This window comes from Homo sapiens, chromosome 10, assembly GCF_000001405.40.
Source record: "Homo sapiens chromosome 10, GRCh38.p14 Primary Assembly".
NCBI lineage: Eukaryota > Metazoa > Chordata > Mammalia > Primates > Hominidae > Homo > Homo sapiens.
In genome coordinates, this window is record NC_000010.11 from 95,305,375 (window position 1) to 95,328,923 (window position 23,549).

Here is a 23,549-nt window from a genome sequence, read left to right on the forward strand (position 1 = left end):
ACTACAGAATATCATGTAATCATTACAATGATGATGCAGACATGAGTATATGTTGTCAAGAAAGGACTTTTTAATCTAGTAAGTAAAAAAAGCAGTTTATACACATATCACCTATATATATGTTTGGCAGAGCACTTTAAAAAGGTTATGTCTCAGCAGTGGTGATTATACAATTTATTTATTTTTTAGATGGAGTCTCACTGCCACCCAGGCTAGAGTGCAGTGGCACCATCTCAGCTCACAGCAGCCTCTGCCTCCCAGGTTCAAGTGATTCTCCTACCTCAGCTTCCCGAATATCTGGGATTACAGGCACGTGCCACCACTCCCAGCTAATTTTTGTATTTTTAGTAGACACAGGGTTTCACCATGTTGGCCAGGCTGGTCTGGAATTCCTGACCTTAAGTGATCCACCCGCCTTGGCCTCCCAAAGTGCTGTGATTACAGACGTGAGCCACCGCGCCTGGCTGATTATACAAGTTTTCAGTTTGTTTTACTTCTTAAAGTTTAGCTAATAACTTTGTTTTGTTTAATTTAAAAGGTGGAAACAAGTAATTTGCAGAGAGGTGATATTTGAAACAAAGGGAATAGATAAGATTGCGCAGCTAACAGATTACAGAGAGAAACTTGGAAACGTTCCTATTTAGGGAGTGAGAAGAAGGTGAGAAGCCAGGAAAGAACTCAAAGAAACTGAGGGAAGAGGCAGGAAGATCTCACAGAAACCTAAGAAAAAGATACAGAAAGGACTTGCTTACAAAACCCACCCCTGGTTGGCTACTTCAAAGCCACTCCCAGTCCTCTCTGCCTGGTCCACTTCCTCGAAGCAATTTCTTAGTAGTTAGGAGTAGCCCCATGGTCACCTCTAGCCAATGAGATGCGGGGTGGGTTGGTGGGGGGTGCTTTTGGAAAAGATTTTTCTTCCCTGATGAGGGAAAACTTGCAAAGATAAAACCTCTGTCCTGTGTTGTTGCTCCCTGCTTCCAACCTTCAAAAGCAGTTGTATGAGGATGTGGTGCTTGGAACTGCCATGGTAGCCAGATTGCCATTATGAGACAAAGGCCAGGGGACATACTAACCCAGAGCCCTGTCTTCTTTTCCACGAGATAATGAGACACATCTGCGTCACATAAGCTGGCATTTATTCGGCCATATGTTACTGCAGCTGGAGTTATTCTTAATTGACACAGAAAATAAGAGTGCAAATTTTTGTTCACTTTTAGCTTTGCAGATCTATAACACCACATATGGGAGCCACAGTGCAGGTGACAAAGGGTTCAGACTAGTGGTCAGGCAATACAGGTTCGAGGCCGGACCACACTTCTGAGAGGTTTGTGAGTGCTGGAGAATAAGATGACATGAAATTGGCAGATTTCTTCTATGCCATTGCTGCTGTCTCGGCTCTGGCAGAAGACTGACCAAGGAGGGACATAGACCTTTAATGCAACTTTCAATGTTCAAGCACGTAGTAGGTGCTCATCTAATGGTTATCACTATTATTCAATGAGGTTGCTTTTGAAGATGTTATAGTCTTTTGGTAAGCTTTAGGTGATCCAGAGGTATACTGGTCCACAGTCTTGTCCCAGCTCTGTGCCTTGCAGGCAGTAGAGTGTGATCAATGGAAAGGACCCTGGCTTTGGAGTCAGACTGAAGCCATGTACTTGCACATATACCCTGGGGCTGAACTCCTTTGAGTCTCAGTTCCCTCACCTGTCAGTGGAGATAAGAATACCTTCCTCACCGAGGTGCTATTAAAAGATAACACATGGAAAGTGCTGGTATACAGTAGGCAATAGAATGACTGGGGAGCTCCAATGTGGACATTGCAGATTGCCTTCCAAACATCCTTTTTCTTCCTCCTTCCTAGAAGGATCTCACTTTGGTCCAGGCATCTTTCCCTCCTAGATGAAAAAACTCAAGACAGCCTATGTGGCATTTCTGAGGTCTCACAATGTATGTAAGCCTAAGAGGCATTTGAACTCAGGTCTTCAGACTGCCAGCCCATTGTTCTTTCCAATACTTCTCCTTTTTTCAGGAATTAGTGCATGTATCCAACACAACAAAATACCAGAACTTAGAAGTTCTAAACTGTAGTCCACTCCTCCTCAAGTGAGTGATCCAAGCATGAGACAAAAGCCACAAAGGTTTTTCTTTTTTTCTTTTTTTCTGAGATGGAGTCTCACTCTGTCACCCAGGCTAGAACACAGTGGCACAATCTCGGCTCACTGCAACCTCTGCCTCCAGGTTCAAGCGATTCTTGTGCCTCAGCCTCCCGAGTAGCTGGGATTACAGGCACCCACCACCATGCCCGGCTAATTTTTGTATTTTTAGTAGAGACAGGGTTTCACCACATTGGCCAGGCTGGTCTCGAACTCCTGACCTCGGGTGATCCACCCACCTCGGCCTCCCAGAGTGCTGGGATTACAGACATGAGTCACCATGTCTGGCCAAAAGCCATAAAGGATTTTACAACCTAACCTTGGAAGTGATATGCTGTCACTTTTCTGCAACATTCTATTGATCACACAGACCAACCCTCATAGAATGGGGAAGGGGATCACACAAGAGCCTGAATACCAAGAGGTGAGGGTGACTGGAGGCATCTTTGGACGCTGACTACCACAAGCAGCTTCACATCATTTGAAAATAGTTCTGACATTATGAATCTCCTGAAAGGGCTTGGAGATTCCAAAGTGACCATGAACCAAGCTTTGAGATCATCGATTTACATTATGCTACTATTGAAGATGATTTGATCTCCCTTTTGCAGATTCGTCTGTTTGTCAGATATTACTTGAAAAACAAGTAAACCCTAAAGGTAGAGAGACTCTTAATCTACTCAATATTTTGCCCCTGACAAGGCTAGAGTGAGGGTCCTGGAAGACCAGTGCAGTTGTCCTCCGGGACAGACTTCATAGTGTCACACGGTCATTCAGAGCTTCTCATTATGGATTTTTGCATCTATGGATTTATCTTAAATGTTCTATAATATTTTCAATCTGAACCACTTTGTTGGCTAATTTGTTCCAAAAATTACCTGTATCAAGTGATAAGTTCTTTGATTTGTCCTAAAAGACCTGGTTAAGTGTTCCTGAGACAGATGTGGTTTCTATGTGCTAAGACTTGGAAAAATACTCCCACGTACAACTCATCCAAACATCCTCTGTGACTTCTGAGACATCAACTTTGTTCCCTTCCATTAGAGTCTGATATTTTTAGCATGAGATACGGTTGTGCTGTGCCCCCCTGGTCGCATTGGCCCCCTCCTCTGGGACTTCTCCTCCCACTGTATTCTTGTCAAGACCTTGGCTAGCAAAACTTCAGCACATAGCCTGCTTTCAACTACACTGAAGTTTATACTGGGACAGGACAATAGTGTTCCATTTTCAAAGTGTGTTACAATAACTCTCCAAGTCCAGTGGACCATTGAGCTGTTATCTGTCCAGTTTCCTTTTCCCCTTCTTAGAGCAGACACCCCTTCGCCCAGCCACTCCTCTCCCTCATTCTTTGAGGTTTTGGTTGAGCTGCCAATTCACCCACCTCGGCCTCCCAGAGTGCTGGAATTACAGGCGTGAGTCACCATGCCTGGCCAAAAGCCACAAAGGTTTTTACAAGTAAAGTTGCCTCTTTAGTCAAAGTGATTAGTCTAGGGAAGAGTAAATATCCAGGCTGGGCCTGCCAGCATCTGGAGTTGTTTTCAGGGAAAGCCAAATAGGAAGGTCCTTTTGCCTTGAGAATTTGGAGTCAGAGAGCTGGAAGGAGGCTGGAGCAGCTTGCAGCCATGTTTCCCACTGCTGCATTCAGTAGGTGAAAATGTAGCCAAACAAAACGCCAAGAATAAGACAAATACTGATGAGAAAGTTTGAGTCTCTGGATTAACTCCTGACTGAGACTAGTTCTAACGCCCTTTGGTATGTCTCAGCCAATGCAGTAGTGTTAGGTTTTGTTTTGTTTTTGTTTTTTTGTGAGATGGAGTGCAGTGGCACGATCTCGGCTCACTGCAATCTTTGCCTCCCGGGTTCCAGCGATTTTCCTGCCTCAGCCTCCTGAGTAGCTGAGATTACAGGCACACGCCACCACGCCTGACTAATTTTTGTATTTTTAGTAGAGATGGGGTTTCACCATATTGGTCAGGCTGGTCTCAAACTCCTCTCCTCAGGTGATCCGTCCACCTCGGCCTCCCACAGTGTTGGGATTACAGGCGTGAGCCACTGCGCCCGGCCTAAGCTTCTACCATTTAATCATTGAAAGGGCCCTCCCACAATTGACTCTTTGGGCCGTAATTATATTGGGAGAGATCTGCTCTCCGCAGGAGCATGTATTGAGATAAAATAACAGAGGGCTGAGGATGCAGTGAAGATCTAGAAAGAGGATGAAGAAGGGGTTGGCCAGTCAAAAGCGGGTGAACCAAGGAGCCCCAATTCATGGAAGCGGACAATGTAGTAGTTTTAATTGGGTGGTGGGAAACACACTTCCATGGACTTGGTGGGAGTATAATTGGAATTTTTGGGAAGTCAATTTGGAAATCTCTTAAGGTTTGAAATGTTCCTGCTCTTTAAGCCAATAATTTTACTCAAAGCAGCATTGTTGTTGTAAAAAGCTGGCAATAACCTTAAATACCTGCATCATCAATAGAGGATGGGTTAAGTAAGTTATGGAAACATGTCCAAGTTCTACTAAAGGAAAGTAAAAGTGTATGAGACTACATAAAGCATTTTAGAGACGTGTGTGTTTAGTATGTGTAGAAAAGCAAGCTGGGAGGACCATATATAGGAGTGATCTCTGTGAGGAGTGTTATTATGGAGAACTTTCACTTTCTATGTTTGTATGAAACCAGCATAATTTGAAAGATTAATTCATTGTTTCTGCCACTGTAAGAAAATGGTTTCCCTTCTTTCATTGTTGGTAGAACATATTCTGAGTTCTAGGATCTCTGGCCTCAAGGGCTTATTTATCTGTTTATTTGATAAACAAAGGATTGAGTGCCACATTAGACTCTCTTCTTGGTGCCAGGCATATATTAGCAAAACAGAGTCACTAACCCCATGGATTTTACAGGATTGCTTGTGGAGACAAATTTCAGATGGTGATAAGTGTTATGGAGAAACAGAGGAGGAAGAGGGGGATGGAATGCAGGGGGTGGGGACAATAGGTTCCTAGATGTATGTAAAGTAGTCACGAAAAGCCTCATTGAGAAGACAACAGGAAGACCTAAAGGAGGAAGAAAACCATGCAGCTCTTGGGGAAAGGGCCTTCCAGGCACAGGGGATTGCAAACATGAAGACCCTGAACCTCAAATGTGCTTAATGAGTCTGAGGCCATAAAGAGGGCTGTGTGGCTGGAATGAAGGAGATGAATTCAGGGGTTAGGGGGAGGGGAGGAGCAGTATGTCTATGGACTTGCCATTGTACCACATTAGCGAGATGAGAAGCCACTAGAGGGTTTTGGACCAACGTTAAGATGATCACTGTGGTTGCTCTGTCTAGACTAGAGGGGCAATAGCAGAAGCAGGGAGGCCAGTTAGACAGTTATTGCGATGATCCAGGTGAGAGAAAATGGCTTGGGCTACGATGGTAGAAATGGCTGGGTTCTAAATGTAGTTAGGAGGTAAGCTGATGGATTTGTTGGAGACAAGGGTTCATAGGGCCTGTGATTCAGGACCTAGTGTTAAGGACTGTCAGACCCTTGAAACAAGAGACTGTTAGGCCCCTCTCCCAGGGGAGGCCCAAGTACACTGAGTTACCCCAGAGGCAGCACTGCAAACTGGTGCTTTGAGTTGGAGGTGGAGGACAGAACCCAGGGGGAGAGGGTAGAGGCGTGAGCTTTCCTATTAGGGGACAGATCCATGCCTTGTGTGCAGCAGACCCCATCCCAGACTAAGATGGCAGTAGTTGTAGCCACGGGATGCCAGGGGAGACTGCATGCCTAGTGCCTTAACACATTTGGTTTGGAGGAGAAAAAGGACAGATTGCATTTTCGCCCACCCATACCAAGAGAGGACTCATAGCCAGATTAATTTGATTTAGAAAAACAAAGTGCTATGTCATTTCCCATACCCATGTTTTATAAAGCAAATCTAGACCCATTATACATATTTTATAATGTTTTACTTTTGTTTTTAAAGACATTTGTGCATCACTTTTGTTATCAGAACAAATACGAACATATTTTAGAAATAATGGCAAAATGGTCAACAGTAATCAATTAATTCAGAGGGTCAGGAGTTAGGTTATTGAGAAAAAAGTAAGGTAAGAAGTGGTGTCTTCAAGGAGGCGGCAGAAGGCAGATGGTAAATGATTAAGGATGGAAAGGAGGGTATAAGAAATTGAAGCAGTGAATTTAAGCTTCATTTGAGAAGCTTGGCAAAGGGAGGAAAGAAACAATGAATGACCAGAACAAACATATGCCACGCAATTCTGAATAAAGTTTATTAAATAATATGTACAGCAAATGTAGTAATTCAACACATCTATTTATCAAATCAATCCACTGCAATGAAGAAAAATAAATGAACAGAAAAATCTATGTCTGCATAGGACATGCTCTCAGTGTGTAATTTAAATGGCAATACTTTAAATTAATTGGTTATATATAATGTCAGTTATTTTTCTTTCAGAATATAACCTTTTTTGTAGTAACCTATTCTAGCAATAGGACTTAATACGACTGCAGATAAATAGGACTGCAAAAACCAAAAACCCAAAATAATGAAATTAAAAAGGAAAAAAAAACTGTAACTGAGATCAGAGTTACCTTTCCTCCCCAATAGAATACTTATCGTAAATTTTAACACTTTACAATGGCTATTTTTGTGCTAAAAATCTGTAGGTGAGTTATTTGGAATTCCTTCATTTAAATAAAAATGCAAAAAAACTTCATGACTTCCTTTACCCCCTTCCATTCAAATTTTTAAAATTATTTTTCTATACAAGGTAGGTACATGGGCTATACAAAGTTAAATATACATATTTACAGTCCCACTTCTTAAGCACATTATTTTTTTTTTCTTTTACTGATCCCAGAGAGACTGCAAAAGATAAGGAGTTTGGGGCTTGCCTTTACCCGGAAGCATGGCTAATATATCAAAATGTGTTGCAAGGCATGCCGCCAGTTAGTTGCACTTGCTATTAATAAACCTGTATAAACATTTCAGCATAAAAATAGGTACTTTATATTACTAAATGTCTGAAGACAAAAGAGCAATTGGAAATCTCTGTTTCTTGTTTCGTCATACATAGGAAGGCGACGTGATGCAAATTTTAACACAAGATTTTATTAAAGACGGGCAAATTGGTGAGGCATACCTGAATTTCTGGAGATATACAAATGCGTGAGGCTGGCATCATATGCAAATGTGGCTTTACAAATTGGTTTTATTTTCTAGCTGTATTTAAAGAGGTGTTCAAAATTCCCTACTAATCAAGAAGCACCCCTGAAAAAACTATGAGATAAGATAGTGTTATTAATGGTTTGCATCTAAAGACCAGGAAACACATTAGCCAATACAGTCCACAATCGGTGAAATGCTGCCGTGCAAATTGCACGTGCATATGCATTTTTACTATATTCCCTCAGAGACCGTAAAACAACAACAACAACAAAAAAAAAAAAACAGTGCTCTTAGATGGTGGAGCAGACCTTCCAAAACAACAGGTCTTACTCTTACTGGGTTTTAAGGAAATTCAGGAAGTCTCCTTCTACCCAGAAAGCTCACCCCCTCCAGTTCCATAACCTTTTCCCTTGGGATTAAGGCCCTGCTCTGTCATACTTAAAAACAAATGTCTGTGGGAAGAGGTAACTCATTCCTATTATCAATCATTTACACCTTAGTGTGAATGAATTAGTGGCAGTTTCTTTCCTGAGAACAGGATTTGAAAGAACAATAGGGAGAAAGTGAGGGTACTGTGGCTGTCTGGTGGGGGATGGGAAGCTGATGGGATCCTAAGATGGGTATTTGTGACAGCAGCTGAGGCACAGGCATTGAAAACAAATTTTGCCTACCTGTAAAGACTCTAGACTTTGGGACAATGGTCCTGGGGTAATTCTGAGATATATGCAGACAGCCAGGGGTTCCGTACACAACCCTACCACCTAGAATTGCTACTCCTATTTGTGAGCTTGGATGTGTATCTGTGGGGGAAGATGAGAGTTTAGAGACTCTGGAAAATATTCCAAGTATTTCCAGCTATGAACTACCCTCAGACAAAGGTTCTTCCAGCACCCTAGTTGTTTAAAAGTGAGCTAATGGAGATGGCAATATGACAATGCTTTCTAGGATCCCTCCAGGGAAAATTCATCTCTCCCTCCCTCACACCCTTCTTAGCACATATCACAGTCTCTCTTGATTAAGTTCATTTTCCTGTGTCAGTCTCCCCAATCACCTCTGAGTTTCTGGTGGGCAGGGAATGGGTCATTTCTGTATTTGTCTCACTCAGGATCTAAGAGAGGCCGATAAACATCCTTGAATTGGACAGAGTTGTGACCAAGCAGCCCGGGCGTCACAGGGGCCTCTCTCTTCTGATCTGGCCCCCACAAAGAACAGACGTCCTGGTTGCTGCTGGTAGTGGCAGAATTGCTGCTTCAGTCTGAAGAGAAGCCTTGCCAGGGTGTACTCAGATTCACAACCCTGGTTACTACCGTTTGTGTGATCCTTGAACTCCTACAGGGAGTAGATCTGGAGCCACGGCAAACCCTGGGCATGTCTTGCTTATGGTTGTCCCCCCAGCAGCCAGAGTACATTGGTGTATGTTAAATGAATCACTGAACATCATTTTTGGTGTTCTATGAGAATAGGCCTCCCAATTCTAAACTGTCCCAGAAAAACACAAGCCAGAAAAGAAAACTTAGCAATAGTGCTCTGATAAATGCAGCTGCACTGTCCTGAAGGTAACCATTTCTAAAAGCCAAGGATATGGGAAAAGAATGAACCACAAGTGGCCTCCAGAGCCACAGGGCTTCCTGACTTCATCACTCAGAAAACAGACATAACCTATCTGCTTGGCCATCTGCTCCCCAATTCTCATGGGCAAACCTTGTGTGCGTTTCTCTCTGAACATCAGGGCAGTCAATGGCACTGCTGCACAGCAGGCTGAATGCATCAGGTGCCTCAGTTTTGCCTCTGTTTCCCCATCCACACCTCAGCAGGTTGAGTGAGGGATTTGGTCTTGGGCAGTGTGGGGGACTCCACCTTTGTCTAGGGACAGTCTTGGTAGCTCAGACTGACCTCCAGCAGCGTTACAGGATCAGCTGGCTCCAGGGGAGCTGAGAAATGTAGGCTGGGGGTCTTGTTGCATTCTTGGGCTTGAAGCCTTCAGGCTCAATGATTGAGATGGGAGCTCTCTAAGGCTGGGGCAGCAGGAGGCATTTCTGGCTAACTCTGCTCCTGGACTATGCTTCAGGTCAGATTACCCAAGAAGTGGAGGGGAGGGGAAAGGCTGAAGTGGCTCCCAGAAGCGGCTAAGTAAATACAATTTGCTTCAATTCTTTTTGCTCAGCACACTAGTTCGGCCCTGTCTAATACACAGTAACCTTAGACAGGCTTGGGTTTTAAACACAACACTTCTCTGTCCCTGTCTTTTGCTTCTTACTTTATCCACTGTATTAATTTTCCTACTGACTCAACTAAAAAGATCGGTTCATGAATGATGCTTCCTCCTCCAATAAAAATAATCTCCATGGTTTTCAGTCTTCTTATAGATACAAAGGTTTTACATAGTTGCCTGGAAAAGTACCAAACTGCTTTGTCCTTCTTGAAGTACCTATGAAAAAACACACACATACAAAACATGAGAAGACCCACTCGCTTGAGTTGAGACAGCACGCTGCAGAGATTTCTGCTCCAAAACCCCTTGTAACAGTCCTGCAGCTTAGAGAATACCGTATGGTTTCCAAAGTACTTTCCCCTATCTTATCTCACTTAGGCTGCCAAATAATGCTGGGCGGTAAGCAATGTAGGCATTTCTAGTACTCCTGTTTTTCAGAAGGAACCCAGGTTCAGAGAGTAGAAGTAACATGTCTGAGGTCCCACTGCTTAGTAACTATCAGAGGCAGAATCTGAACCGAGGTCTTCTGACTCCCAGTCCATTGCTCTTTCCAACACTTCTGCTTTGTGGAGGAGTTCATACATTTATCTGACACAAGAAGATACCTGAGATTTAGATTTTCTAAACCATGCAGTTTCTAAAAGCCCACTGACTATGGCCACCCATCAAAAGGAAATTCCTATCCAGCTTGTGCCTAAGCCCCCAGTTGAGTCCCTATCTTTGGTACTAACCTTGTTAGGGCTCCTGCTAAGCCAGGAGCATTGAGCCATCTGGGAACAAAGCCCTTCCTGGGCTGCTCCAGATGCAGCACTGCTGATCCTTAATCTAGTTCCTTCCCTTGGGATTCTCTCTCTAAAGCAGGAGTGGCAAATATATGTTGTATCATCATTATCGTTTCTTTAGCAGACATCCCAATTTGATAACTGCACCCTTATCACAATTGGCTTAGATTTGGCTTCGGAATCCTGTTGTACACATCTCAAGCAGCCACTACCAATGGGTTGGAATTACTACCCAAAGTGAAACTTCTAAGCTAAAAAAATATGTTAAAGCTTAGGAAACCTAAAACATCTAGTTGAACTCCTATGGAGAATGGCCAAGAAGGTTAGAGAACTGAGATGGTAGGGTCCAGAGATAATAAGAACCTTGCCTAGGGCCACATAGCTAGTTAGTATCTTTCCTTATGGATGAGAAAAATGAGTTCTGCTAAGGCTACTTTATTTGTAGTTTGAAAATGCTACTTTTCAAAGTGACCGAGGAGGCTGGGCATGGTGGCTCACGCCTGCAATCTCAGCACTTTGGGAGGCTGAGGCAGGCAGATCACTTGAGGTCAGGAGTTCGAGACCAGCCTGGCCAAGATAGTAAAACCCCATTTCCATTAAAAATATAAAAATTAGCTAGGCGTGGTGATGCGGGCCTGTAGTCCCAGCTACTTGGGAGGCTGACGCAGGAGAAGCACTTGAACCCGGGAGGTGGAGCTTGCAGTGAGCCAAGTTTGTGCCACTGTACTCGAGCCTGGGTGACAAACCAAGACTCTATCTCAAAAAAAAAAAGAAGCAAGTGAAGAGTTCAGGGATGCAAGGAAGATACTCATCCCAAAATATTTCCTTTACCCAGCTGCCTGGCAGGCCTTCATTAGAGAACTGGTGCTCCTTCCCACACCTAAGTTCTCATAAAAAATATATATATTCCTGAACGAGTTTAACAGCTATTGCATACTAGTGCTGCACTCTCTAAAATGATAGCCACGTGTGACTACTGAGCACTTGAAATGTAGCTAGTCTGAAATGAGCTGTGCTGTAACTATAAAATACACATTGGGTTTCAAAGACAGTATGAAAAGATGTCTGTAAAATAAATCATTAACCATTTCTAATATTGATTACATGTTCAAATGGTAGCATTTTGAATGCACTGGGTTTACAAAATACATTAGAATTAATTTCACTGGTTTCTTTTTACTTCTTTTCAATGTGGCTTCTAGAAAATTTTAAATTTCACACATGGCTTACATTGCATTTCTATTGGATTGCACTGCACCAGAGTGGTCACTGACTTCTCAGACCTGATTTCTACTGAACAGACGACTCAAAGTAGTGAGGGCCGTGGGCTTCTGAGGACCTCGGGAGGATGGGGTAGTTCTCTAAGAGGCTGGTGAGGACAAGGCAAATCTTACTGACTTCTCATTCATGTTGAGGTCTTGCTGTCCTTACCACCCCAGCCCTGATATTACTTTGCTTTAGCAAAGCTTTGCCAGAAAAATCAGGGAAGGGCTGGTCTTTGGAAAGAAGGTGAAGGTAAAGCCACTTGTACAGGGAGAAACTGAGGCAGAGTGGGTCAATATCTCCCAACATTATATTCATGCCTGAGCAGAAAGAACACAGATTTCAGGAGAGATGGGTGGCCTGAGTTCAAATCCTGGCCCCACTATTTGCTACCCTGGTGATCTTGGCATAGTTAATTAACTTCTTTGGGCCTCAGTTTTTGAATCTGATAAATGAGGATAATTCTTATCTTACAGGGCTGTTTGTTGAGAGAACGTCAATAAAAGCATATCAAACACAGTGTCTGCTTTGTAATAGAATCTCAATAAATGTTGATCTCTCTCCTTGTAAAGGCAAATCCTTTAATTAAGCAGGGTGCTTTGACTAATATTATTGAAAGCCTGGAGTAAATAAGGTCTTTAGAATGTCTACACGTATGCCTGAGTTTCATGGTAGAGACATAGGCTCAGTCAACATTTTCTTGTGTTATTTCATAAGGGTTTTAAAAATAAAATTTCCAAATGCAAAATAGACACATGCACAATATAAATATAAGTGGAGACTAGGGCCGGGTGCGGTGGCTTATGCCTGTAATCCCAACACTTTGGGAGGCCAAGGTGGGTGGATCACCTGAGGTCAGGAGTTCAAGACCAGCCTGACCAACAAGGTGAAACCCCACCTCTACCAAAAATAAAAAAATTAGCTGGGCGTGGTGGCAGGCGCCTGTAGTCCCAGCTACTCGGGAGGCTGAGACAGGAGAATTGCTTGAACCCGGGAGGCAGAAGTTGCAGTGAGCCGAGATCACACCACTGCACTCTAGCCTGGGCAACAGAGTGAGATTCTGTCTCAATAAATAAATAAATAAATAAATAAATAAATAAATATAAAAAATAAATGGAAACCCAATTAATAAATCTGACAACTGCTCTTCTGTGCAGCAGATTTGGTTTCAGGTTCAACATTAGCAACATCCACACCATCATAATAGCAACACAGACTGGTGGCCCAGAATTTCCAAGGTCATAAAAATCTGAGAAGGCTCTTCTTTCTGTGCAGAGGAGATTGCTTTGCTTTTTGCATGGCTCATCGCCCCCTGTTATTCCCTCAATACACAACTAGTAAGAAAAGCATGATGAGATTCTTACCAACAAACCATCCATCGTCACATTTTTCCATGACATCAACGATATCTCCATCGCGGAGTTCCAACTCATCATCATTCTGTGGTATATAGCTATATAATGCTTGATAGCTAAATCTATACATGAAAAAAATGAATAGTAAGTGACTCAAATGTCGACAGGATTAAATAAGGAATTTTTAAACTCCATTTCAAGTTCAATAAACTTTTCAGCAGTGTTTCCTACTTATCAGTAGGGATAAAAGCATTTTATTGACTATTTCCCTAATAACTTAGCATTTGGGGAGATGCATTCAACATATAATTAAGACTGAGGGATGGAGAACTTCTGACAAGCAAGCCATGATCACTCTTATTTCGCTTCATTTGGTTACCACAGCCAAGCCTTTTTATCTAGAGCACTTCCTACTCTACTCTGACCTCTGCCTTTAAAGCAGTGGTCCCCAACCTTTTAGGCACCAGGGACTGGTTTTGTGGGAGACAATTTTTCCACAGATGGGGTGGGGTGGGGGGGATGGTTTTGGGATGAAACCATCAGGACATTAGTTAGATTCTCATAAGGAAGGCGTAACCTAGATCCCTCACATGTGCAGTTCACAATAGGGTTCACGCTCCTGTGAGAATCTAATGCACTGCTGATCTGACAGGAGGCAGAGCCCAGGTGGTAGTGCCTGGGGATCGGGGACCCCTGCTTTAAAGTAAACTAAGCCTTTTCCTTAACACAGGATAATATATGTAGATTATCAAGCATAATCAGAAGTTATTTGGGCCCAGAGACATTACATTCTGGTCATATATATGGAGAACATAAAACATTTGTTTTTTAAAAAAAGTGTGTGTATAATAGCCATATATAATAGCTATATATATGCTATTAAAAGTACATTCCAATTGCCTCACTGTTTAGCAAAACTATCTTGAGTTTCTTTACATGCCTAAACACATTTCATTCACTGCTTTTAAATGTGGATGTCATTTTTCTGAAACCCTTGAAAGCTTTTTTCTTTTTTCTATCCCAGTGAGCATTGAGGGCAAGATTTTTATTTACTTGCTAGTTGGCCTAAGGCATTGGGTCTGTGCTGTTTTGTCTGTTCTAGCAGCCACTGGAGACAGCTGGACTGCTTGTGGTGAAATCTGATCCTTGCTTTGGCATCAAGGAAAAGCTTTGTTTTTATTTATTTCTTCAACAAATACATAAGAGGCACCTACTATGTACCAACTTCACAACTCTGTTTACTATTTTGAGACAAGACAGTAGCAGGCAAAACTGTAAATGAGCCAGTCATCTACCATTTCCAGTAGATGTCAATGAATTCCAGTGTGCAAGCAAGAAAGACTAGAAACAAGCAAGTGGAGTCAGTTCTCAAAAACAAGAGGTTCATTCTGCTCTGCTAAAACCAGAGGGACAACTTCACTTTCCATATTTATCCAAATGTATTGATAATTTGGAGGATGGATCTGGTTGCCAGAAGGAAGGTCTCAAATGAGGAATTAAGAGATGCAGATCAATTTCCAATTGGTAAATAAACACTTTTTTTTTTCATGTTTCTGTATTTGCCTGCTGTCTCCTACTCAATTTGGAGTCTCCTACTGGCCTCCCAACACATGCCCCTTGCCAGCTTCTTAGAATGCCTGGGCCCTTTAACTCCCACCATGGCTGCTTTGCCAGCCTCAGCCCTGGGAAATAACTCCAATATCTGCTTCTCTATTTTCACTCCCAGACAGTGGAGACTGGCTGGACAAAGTCCCACACTCTTGCTGCTTGGGTACCCCAGTCAGCTCTAATTTGGGATGAACCTCATACTCCTCAGAACATTGTCCCATGGGGTCCTTCCCCCAGCTCTCTTGCCAATCCTGGTGCCCCACGCTCAGCCAAGAGCTCTCACTCTGCCCCCACTTCTGGAGATGGAAGCTTGCTGTGGACAGCACCTTAATCCTCCTCCCCTCCAGATTTAAGTCTCTGTGCCTCCACTCACCTTCCTGCCCCTGCTCACACATGTGAGGAAAGAAAGGTCCCTTCTCCAAGCCACGTTGAACCCCCTTCCTGGGCTCTTCCTTCACTTACTTTTTTTTTTTTTTTTTTTTAACAGAGTCTCACTCTGTCTCTAGGCTGGAGTGCAATGGCGCAGTCTTGGTTCACTGCAACCTCCGTCTCGGGAGTTCAGGTGATTCTCCTGCCTCAGCCTCCCAAGTAGCTGGGACTACAGGCGCATGCCACCACGCCCAGCTAATTTTTGTATTTTTGGTAGAGACAGGGTTTCACCATGTTGGCCAGGACAGTCTCGATCTCTTGTCCTCGTGATCCGCCCACCTTGGCCTCCCAAAGTGCTGGGATTACAGGTGTGAGCCACCGCACCTGGCCTCACTTACATCTTATTTGCATTAACTGGCATTTTACTCTGGTAAAATTTGCTTGTCTCTGCACCCTAAAAACACCTCCCCTGACTCTGCTATTCCCTTGATCTATAGCCCCCCGCCTTCCACTCACCATTGACCCTTCCTAACACAGCACCTGCCACCACCCCTACCAACACTAATACTGCCGTATCAGAGGTCACCAGGGATTTTTCCAGTTGCCATGGAAAATGCCTGGTGGACATTTCTCATTTCCCACTCTTGGCCTCTCTGGGGCAGGTGACACTGCTGACCAGATGCTGTAGCTGTTCTGTGAAAGTGAACGTCTTAGACCCTCACTGGCATCTCTTGTTGCCCTTCTCTGTCTCTGTGGCTGGCTAGGCTTCTTTACATGTATCTCTGTTGGTAATTATACTCACTTCCACGGTTACAAAATGCCCACTTTGTCCTGGCTCAGGCCCTCATGGCTTCTTAGCTGGATTGAAGTCTTCTAACAAACATCTTTGTCCCTGATCTATGAAATCTACCCTCCACTCTGTTGCCAGAGTTATCTCCCTAAAACAAAATATGATCAATATGTTCCTTACTTCAAAAACCTTCAATGGCTCCCTAGTACCTGCAGAATAAAATCCAAACTTACTTCAACTGCATTCTGGAATCTACCATCTGGTCCCATCCCACCTCTAAGCTTCATCTCTATCTCTTCCATGAACCATATGCTGCAGCTACACGGGCCCTTTCAAGTTCTCCAAATACCACCCACTCTATGCCTTTGCACATGTGGTCCTCACCTCTGGGAAGATATTTTCCTCCCTTTTCTAGCTCTCAGAATCTAATTTGTCTTTCAGTGTTTGGTCCAAATCTCTCTTTCTCTGTGCACAGAGTTTTCTCCTATGTGCTTAAAACATAGGAGATATCCAATAATTTTTTATGAATGAATGAATGAAGCAACCCTTTCATTCACGGCTGGTCAGAATTAACCATTCCTTCCTCTATATTCCCACTATACTAGCACTGAAACCAGTCAGCACAGCTCTCATTTGACATTCTACAGCAGTTAATCTTTACCTGTCTCTCTCTCCCAGCAGTCTATGACGGCCTTTATTTACCTGCCACCTGTTTTCACCTTGGCTGATGCAGAACATGGCCTTCACTAGAAATCCTCAGGAGAGAACCTGGGTGTAATTCACTCATTCCTGCAAATGACTGCCCCATATTCAGCCAGCGACCCACTTTCTAAGACCAACAGTCCTCTGAGAACATGAGAATCGAAGTTCACCAGGAGTACTTACAAATCTTGTGAGGTTTGACTCCTGTCGGGGGTGACTCTTCGCTGCTGGGCTTGAGGTTGCTGAGAAATGATTAAAGATGATTTATTGTCAGAAGGGGATACCTTGTGATGAAAGTCAAGGGGATGAGAAACAGTGCTGCAGTAATGAACAGATTTTTCGGCAATGTTTATGATCTCATTGCAAACCGCTTCCTGTGAGGTGGCCCCGAGATATCCAGAAACCCCAATAAAACAGTCAACATGGGGACAAAAAAAAAAGAAAGAGAGGAAGAGATGTAACATTCCAGACGAAGCACATAAGTCCAGGGAGAAAACAGAGTTGAAGATCCAGGTTAAAAAAATAGATATTCCAGTAGTGGAGTGCAGGAGGGATCCAGGCGTAAGCATGGAAAAACAGGTAAGATACAGAAGAATTTGGAATTTAGTAAGAATATTAAAAAAAAAAAGGCAGCAGCATAAAAGCCTGAAATTAGTGAGTAACTGTCACAAATGGAATACTTTAGGGTAGAAATGCAAGTATGTATCCCCAATCATGCACTAATACATTAATTTAATCCCACATATAGGCAGAGTAGAAATATCGTCTCTAAATTCCTCTGCTTTTTTCCAGGGGCTGGGGGTAATGCAGTGGCCTAACATCTCGCTCTACTACAATAGCCACAGAATTCTTATAAATAATATTTCTGTGGGTTAACCAGGCATCACTCTAGTCTAGATTCCAGAAGTAAGGATCAGTAAAAATTCTCTTTAGAAAAGCTGCAGTCTTATTCAACAGGCATCTTACCACATAGCTCTTTTCAGATTCTGTGAGATCTGGTCCTGCTCTCAATGAATGATGAGAAAGCTGTGATCACCAAGCAAATTATAAGGGAGACATTTTAGCAGATGTCACATTGGAAAGGATTCAAAATAAAAGCATGAGCAAATCCACGTACCACACCATCACGCTTGGATGACACCAGATACCGGCGGCCTATGGCCACCAAGTCTCCACAACAACAGGGTGGGTGCACAGAAGAAAATGCAAATGTAGAGTTAGAAGCAAGCATCCAGGAAATGAAATGGGAAATTGGAAACATGGCTGCAGTGAGGTGAGGATGAACAACACAGGGTCCCCAGATTGGCAGGAGAGAGACTCAGAAAGGCCATCTTAGCCAGGTCCCTTCACACATATTGGTCCCCTCACGCTCAGCTAGTAAGCATCTAGGGAAGGTGGCTGAACCCAAAGCCAGTTTTGGTTATTTTGTTGACTGGAAGCCCCCTCTAGCAGAGCAGGCCCATAGAACCATCAAGTCTGCTGTATTTCAGAAACTTATAAAAACTGAAAAAGGGAATAACATTTTTGAAAACTTCCTTGGTAATATATGAAGTACCAACCAAGACCATTCCCCTGGAAAAATCTGCAAATGACACACTCCAGTGAGGTATGAGATGAATTCAGATAGCTTGTAGGACAGAGCTTGCTTCCAGAAATAGGACTGTGTGTGACGAAACTGTCACTCTTCACTTACCAACCCAGGTACCACATGCTAACATAGAAACACAGGTGCAAACATGGCCAAGCAAACCTGCCTTTTGAGTGGGGCTTCCATTGTAGAGGCCAGCCTTCACTTGGAGAGTGTTTGGAACCATGTCCCCCAGACAGGACTCAATTCCAAGCTCTAGGAAGTTTTTCTAAATAAATACCCTGAAGAGCCATCCTTGAAAAAATCCTCCAGGTAACATGCAATAATAGCAGCAGGCTGGCCAGGCATGGTGGCTCATGCCTGTAATCCCAGCACTTTGGGAGGCCAAGGCAGGAGGACTGCTTGAGCCGGGGAGTTGGAGACCAGCCTGGGCAACAAAGCAAAACCCCATCTCTACAAAAAAATACAAAAATTAGCTGGATGTGGCAGCATACACCTGCAGTCCCAGCTACTTGGGATCAACTGAGCCCGGGAGATTCAGGCCACAGTGAGCATGATTGCACCGCTGCACTCCAGCCTGGGTGACAAAGCAAGACCCTGTCTCAAAAATAAAAAAATAAAGCAATAGGCCACAACTCCAGGGCCTTCTAGATGGGCGCTTAGAAATCTTTTGTGCATGACCCACTTGTTTCACAGAGAGACATAGAAAAAGTGGGAGCCTCCCCTGAGGTCACACATCAAGTCAGTGGTAGGCTTTTCTCCTGGCTTCATCTATTGTCCCAACTGACCTTGTCTTTTATCCTCAGACCATCTTCTGCCTTATCAAGTGTGCTCACTGACCTCATCTTCAGTGACTCCCTCAGAAACCCTGGAGTCAGGCAGGACAGGGTTTATCATTGTTTTCTTAAAAAACCCAGGAAGCTGATGCTCAGAGGGGTTTCATGCATTCCTCAACATCACACAGCCAGTAAGAGGTAAAGTGGCTCAGCTGCTCTTTCCGCTCCACCAGACCACCCTCTCCTGTTCACCTCCCCTGGAAATGTCCTCAACCGTTAGCAAGCCCTGCAGGACTAACTTCCGTTGCAGGCATCATTTCAATACCCCTGTCCTTTTGGGAAGCCTCCTCAAGTTCTCCAAAAACCTTCTAAACTGCAACCACTCAAACCAGTCACCTTGCACTCTGACAGGAGTAAAAGAAGAGGCGGAACTAAATGAGCCACGTCATGCTTCTTCTACAATGACTCTGGACGTTAGGTCTTTGCCGGGTGACTGGGAGCCGACCTTGTATGGCTCCAACACCACCCACCCTCCACTCACTGCCTCTGGATTAAGGTGTCCGTATCACAAAGGAAAGAAATGGACATTTCCAAGTACCTTCTATGTGGGCTTTCAGAAGAATGAAACGTCTGAAATGTCACCTTGAGTGGGTGACAATGACATGCAGATTTTAACATGACAGAAGGGAGAACTTCCAAACAATCCAACAATACAAGGGGCTGCCTCAAGTGGAAATGAGTTGGCTGCCTTGGCAGCTGTTTAAGCTGAGGCTGCTGTGGACTATGACTAACTGGGATATTGTAGAGCCATCCTTCTTAGACTTTAATGTATATAGCTATTATTTGGGATCCTGTTAAAATGTGGACTCTGACTTGATACACCTGGGCTGTATTGTGAAATTCTGCATTTCTACTTGGTAGTGCTGACACTGCTGGTTCACAGACCAACTGTAGGCGGCAAGGGTGCAGAGGACCTCAACTGCCCTACACTGAGATTCTTTGGCTATAGTATGCCAAGACCGGTGGTCTGGGTCACACCTCATGAAAACAAAAGTTCTCATAAAAAACAAAATATTTCCAAATTCCAGCTGGTGGCCTCATGACCTCAGGTCAAATGCGGTATAAAGAGAGGATGTAGACAATCTCTTGGCAAGATCTCCATAGTTTACAGAAACCTAGCCTCCTTCCACTCAACTTCATTCATCCCAAAGGAGTGACTGGAATCAATTATCTAGCAAACAATTTGGTGCTGAAAAGAGGATCAGTGAATCAAATATAGTAAGAAGAACCTGATATTTTACAAGCATATATAGATCCATTACATATCTGACTTTTGTACTAACCCTCTGACTTGAGGAGTGCAGAATAAGGAATTTAAGGCTCAGAGGAGTTCCATCCCAGGCACTACTTCTTTTTTTTTCTTTTTTTTTTTTTTTTTTTGAGACGGAGTCTTGCTCTGTTGCCCAGGCGCAATCTGGGCTCACTGCAACCTCTGTTTCCCAGGTTCAAGCAATTCTCCTGCCTCAGCCTCCCAAGTAGCTGGGATTACAGGCGTGGGCCACCATGTCCAGCTTTTTTTTTTTGTACTTTTAGTAGAGATGGGGTTTCACCATGTTGGTCAGGCTGGTTTCAAACTCCTGACCTCAAATGATCTGCCCACCTTGGCCTCCCAAAGTGCTGGGATTACAGGCGTGAGCCACTGTGCCCGACCCCACTTCTATACTCTTGTCCTTTTGGGAAGCATCTTCAAGTTCTCCAAACCCCTTCTAAACTGCAATCACTCAAATCAGTCACCTCGGACTCTGACAGGGGTAAAGGAAGAGACAAAACGAAAGAGGCCATTTCATGCTTCTTCTACAATGTCTCAGGATGTTGGGCCTTTGCCAGGTGGCTGGGACCTGACCTTGTGAAGTTTGTACAAGGTAGTGTGAAAGCTGAGCCCTTTGACATCTAATCTCCATATACTACCTGCCACCTCCCTCTTGGATCATGATTAGATTGCTTGTGTAACTATGACAGCAACACCCAATTTCTGCCTTGTCTGAAAACAGGCACTATCTATCATTTCTCTTCTTGAATACTTTTTACTCTAGGTGTTCAAAGACATTTCCTTATGTAAAAGATACGGTGTACGGTAATAGCGTCCAATCATTAATTGTGAACTATAGTACCGGAAGGGACATTGATGGTCCACCTTGTACCTTCCTTGGTCTCAGGCCATGCCCAAAGCTAAGGATAATCATCATCATAGCTTTAACATCTGTATAGTACAAACTTAACCCCATTCCTGAGAGGTAGGGATGACTGGGTGCCTCACTTAGCGTTTGTTGAATAAATGAAGGAAGAAGGCAAGATAAACATTTATTCTATTAGTTAAGACTCAATTTCTCTCTGTTTAGATTTAAGTGAAATAGCTCATATAACTGAAATGTAAACCAGTTTTTTTCAGGGGACGGAGACATGGCATGGGGGTACACCCTCAGTGGAAATGGAAACCATTACTATCTATCACAAGAATTAGCCCTTCATTTTGAAGGCTGTTTATCCTCAGGTTTTTTTTCCCCTCTAGTTATGTTTTCTTTTCCTGTCCCCATTTTCTAACCACTTTACAGCTTTGTACAGTGCTTCTTCTGGACCTATCCTGTCCAAGATTGTAGCCAGCAGCCACAGGTGGCTGTTGGACACTTGAGATGTGGCAAGTATGAAGTGAAATGTGTTATGTGTAAAAATATACACTGGATTTCAAAAACTTAGTACAAAATAAAGAATGTAAAATCTCAGTAATAATTTTTAGATATACTGGGTTACAATATATTATTAAAATTTCAGTTGTTCCATTTTACTGTGTGTACTAGAACATTTTAAAATCACACATGTGGCTTACATTATATTTCTACTAGACAATGCCTCTCTGAGCCCTCCCCAGGTACTCAGCATCTGCCCTTATTTAAGCCTAAGAGAAGATACAAGTTCTAACAAGGACTTCATCTAGTGTTAAGAATAAAAAAGAATAAAGTTAAGACTAAAAAAAAAATGCTAAGGACATTTCCAACTCTGGTGACGGCATTCCAGTTTTTCACGTGTTTACAAAAACAACCAGCCCAGCGCATGCATACACACATACACACACACACACACACTGCACTCCCCTCCTTTCCCCCATTAATAGGAAGCAGGTGACAGTCCTTGATCCAGAAAGTGCTTTCTTCTGTATTTGTACACAAGTCGCCTCTCCTGGCCTGGAGCTTGCTTCATTCTCCTCAAGTGGGTGACCCTGCATGCGTCCTTGCTGTTGCCCTTCTACTTTCAGTTCACAGAAATCCCCCAGAAATCAGATCTTAGCCTCCCTGGAGCTGTTAATCCCTCTGGATCCACAGAACACCTGGCGCTACTGTGGAGTTACTAAGCATCCGCTTCCAGCTTTGGGTGTGTGCCAAAGCCTTGTGGGCCCAAATAGATTGCACACAGGCTACAGAACAGCAGGAAGTCCTGAAGATGTGGACAGGACAGAGAAACTCTACTTCTCCCTGGCCCCAAATCCCCTCTAGAAACAGCACGAGGCTCTGCTGCTCCCCTAACCTGCCTGAGTCTCACAGAGATGGCACTCCTCTAGTCATCTCACATCCCAAGTCTTCTCAGACCCCACCCCACCTTTCTGGTGACCTACCCTGACCTCCCAGCGGGACAGTGAGAAAATCCAGGTTCCAGGCCATGCTCTGTACTAACTGATTGTCTTGTGAACAAAATGCTTAACGTCTTAGGACTTCAAGTTCTAAAATACATAAGAGGATTGGACATAATTTACATAAATGTCTTTTTGGCTTTAATGCTCTATGATTGCAATGTGCCTGTCCCATGGGTTAAGAAGTAGGACTGGGTAGGGGCTGACTTGGCTTAAGGGAGGCAGCACTCTACTCATTGCTTACTGAAGACTGGGAGGAGGAAGGCTTTCGACTGCAGCCTCCAGATATGGATGGAGTGCTCACTTCTGGAAGTATCCCAAGCGACTGCCCCAAAATAGTGATAGATTTGCACCTACTGGAACATCATGGGCAAACTCTTCCAGAGGAGTAGAAAGGCCCGAATGAGTCAGTCTCCTGGGTTTGAGCTCCAGGAAACCACCAGAGCACCCTCAAAACAGTCTCTGACTCCACTGAGTTATCTTATTGAGTTTACTGAGAAAAAGATCACAGCTTAAATATAAAACTAATTACAAACAACTAGTTCAATTGCTTACCATCTAGATTTTATCTCCTTGCAAGTCACTCACTAGACAACACATTAACTTTGTTGTAATTTGAATCTGATTACAACACTAAACTTAAATGCTCAGTAAATACTCAACCAATGCTCAGCCTTCTCTTCATAGACTATCATACAGTCTTCTCTTCCTTTCATAAGACAGTTGGGGGGTAATGGCAGATACATATTCAAGTGTGAAGAAACCAAAGGCTTTCCAAGAATAGCTTATGCCTTTATACTGAAGGTAGAATAAACTAATTTGGGGAGCACAAATTCCAGATTTTCTAAATTCTCGATTTGTGTAACCCAAAGTAAAATGATTTTCCCATCATTCTCTATTTTCTTCTCTTCCCATCCTCCCCACCCACCATTTTTCTCTCTTAGGTGGAACAGGGTAAGGTGGATAAAGTAAACTACTTTTGTTTCATTTCCCTGGTACCTCGACATCACACAACAGGTATTTATGGTCCCGTTACAGGCTGCGCTAGCTGCTTTCATCTCTATTATATTTCATTTAATTCTCATAGCAACTCAAGAA

The 23,549-nt window shown here is 43.4% G+C and overlaps 1 protein-coding gene across 79 annotated transcripts in view, besides 4 other annotated features; it reads right to left on the reverse strand.

Moving 5' to 3' along the window:
• Positions 4,777 to 4,956: an enhancer, noted in NCBI's record as "active region_3799". NCBI's record gives its function as "activates an Ori minimal core promoter by ATAC-STARR-seq in GM12878 lymphoblastoid cells {active_cell/tissue: GM12878}" and the evidence as "EXISTENCE:reporter gene assay evidence [ECO:0000049][PMID:35858748]".
• SORBS1 (sorbin and SH3 domain containing 1) overlaps positions 6,399 to 23,549 on the reverse strand; it is a 249,599-nt gene continuing 232,448 nt past the window's right edge. For 69 of the 79 annotated variants that reach the window (NM_001384455.1, NM_006434.4, NM_001034957.3 and 66 more), the window contains 3 exons: positions 16,589 to 16,647; positions 12,946 to 13,058; positions 6,399 to 9,752 (listed from right to left, as the gene is read on the reverse strand). In NM_001384455.1, coding sequence (NP_001371384.1) covers positions 9,685 to 9,752; positions 12,946 to 13,058; positions 16,589 to 16,647 — 240 coding nt within the window. In that variant the 3' untranslated portion in view covers positions 6,399 to 9,684. Of the gene's footprint in view, positions 9,753 to 12,945; positions 13,059 to 16,588; positions 16,780 to 17,371; positions 17,432 to 23,549 lie in introns of all 79 variants that reach the window. The other 10 variants (NM_001419704.1, NM_001290294.2, NM_001419702.1 and 7 more) reach the window with 2 other exon arrangements.
• Positions 19,078 to 19,372: an enhancer, noted in NCBI's record as "tiled region #12220; HepG2 Activating non-DNase unmatched - State 16:ElonW, and K562 Activating DNase matched - State 5:Enh". NCBI's record gives its function as "activates a minimal TATA promoter and a strong SV40 promoter by Sharpr-MPRA in HepG2 and K562 cells {active_cell/tissue: HepG2 | K562}" and the evidence as "EXISTENCE:reporter gene assay evidence [ECO:0000049][PMID:27701403]".
• Positions 19,078 to 19,633: a biological region, named in NCBI's record as "Sharpr-MPRA regulatory region 12220".
• Positions 19,132 to 19,633: an enhancer, noted in NCBI's record as "NANOG hESC enhancer chr10:97084263-97084764 (GRCh37/hg19 assembly coordinates)". NCBI's record gives its function as "activates a minimal SCP1, AML or CMV promoter by ChIP-STARR-seq in naive H9 embryonic stem cells {active_cell/tissue: H9 hESC(naive)}" and the evidence as "EXISTENCE:reporter gene assay evidence [ECO:0000049][PMID:30033119]".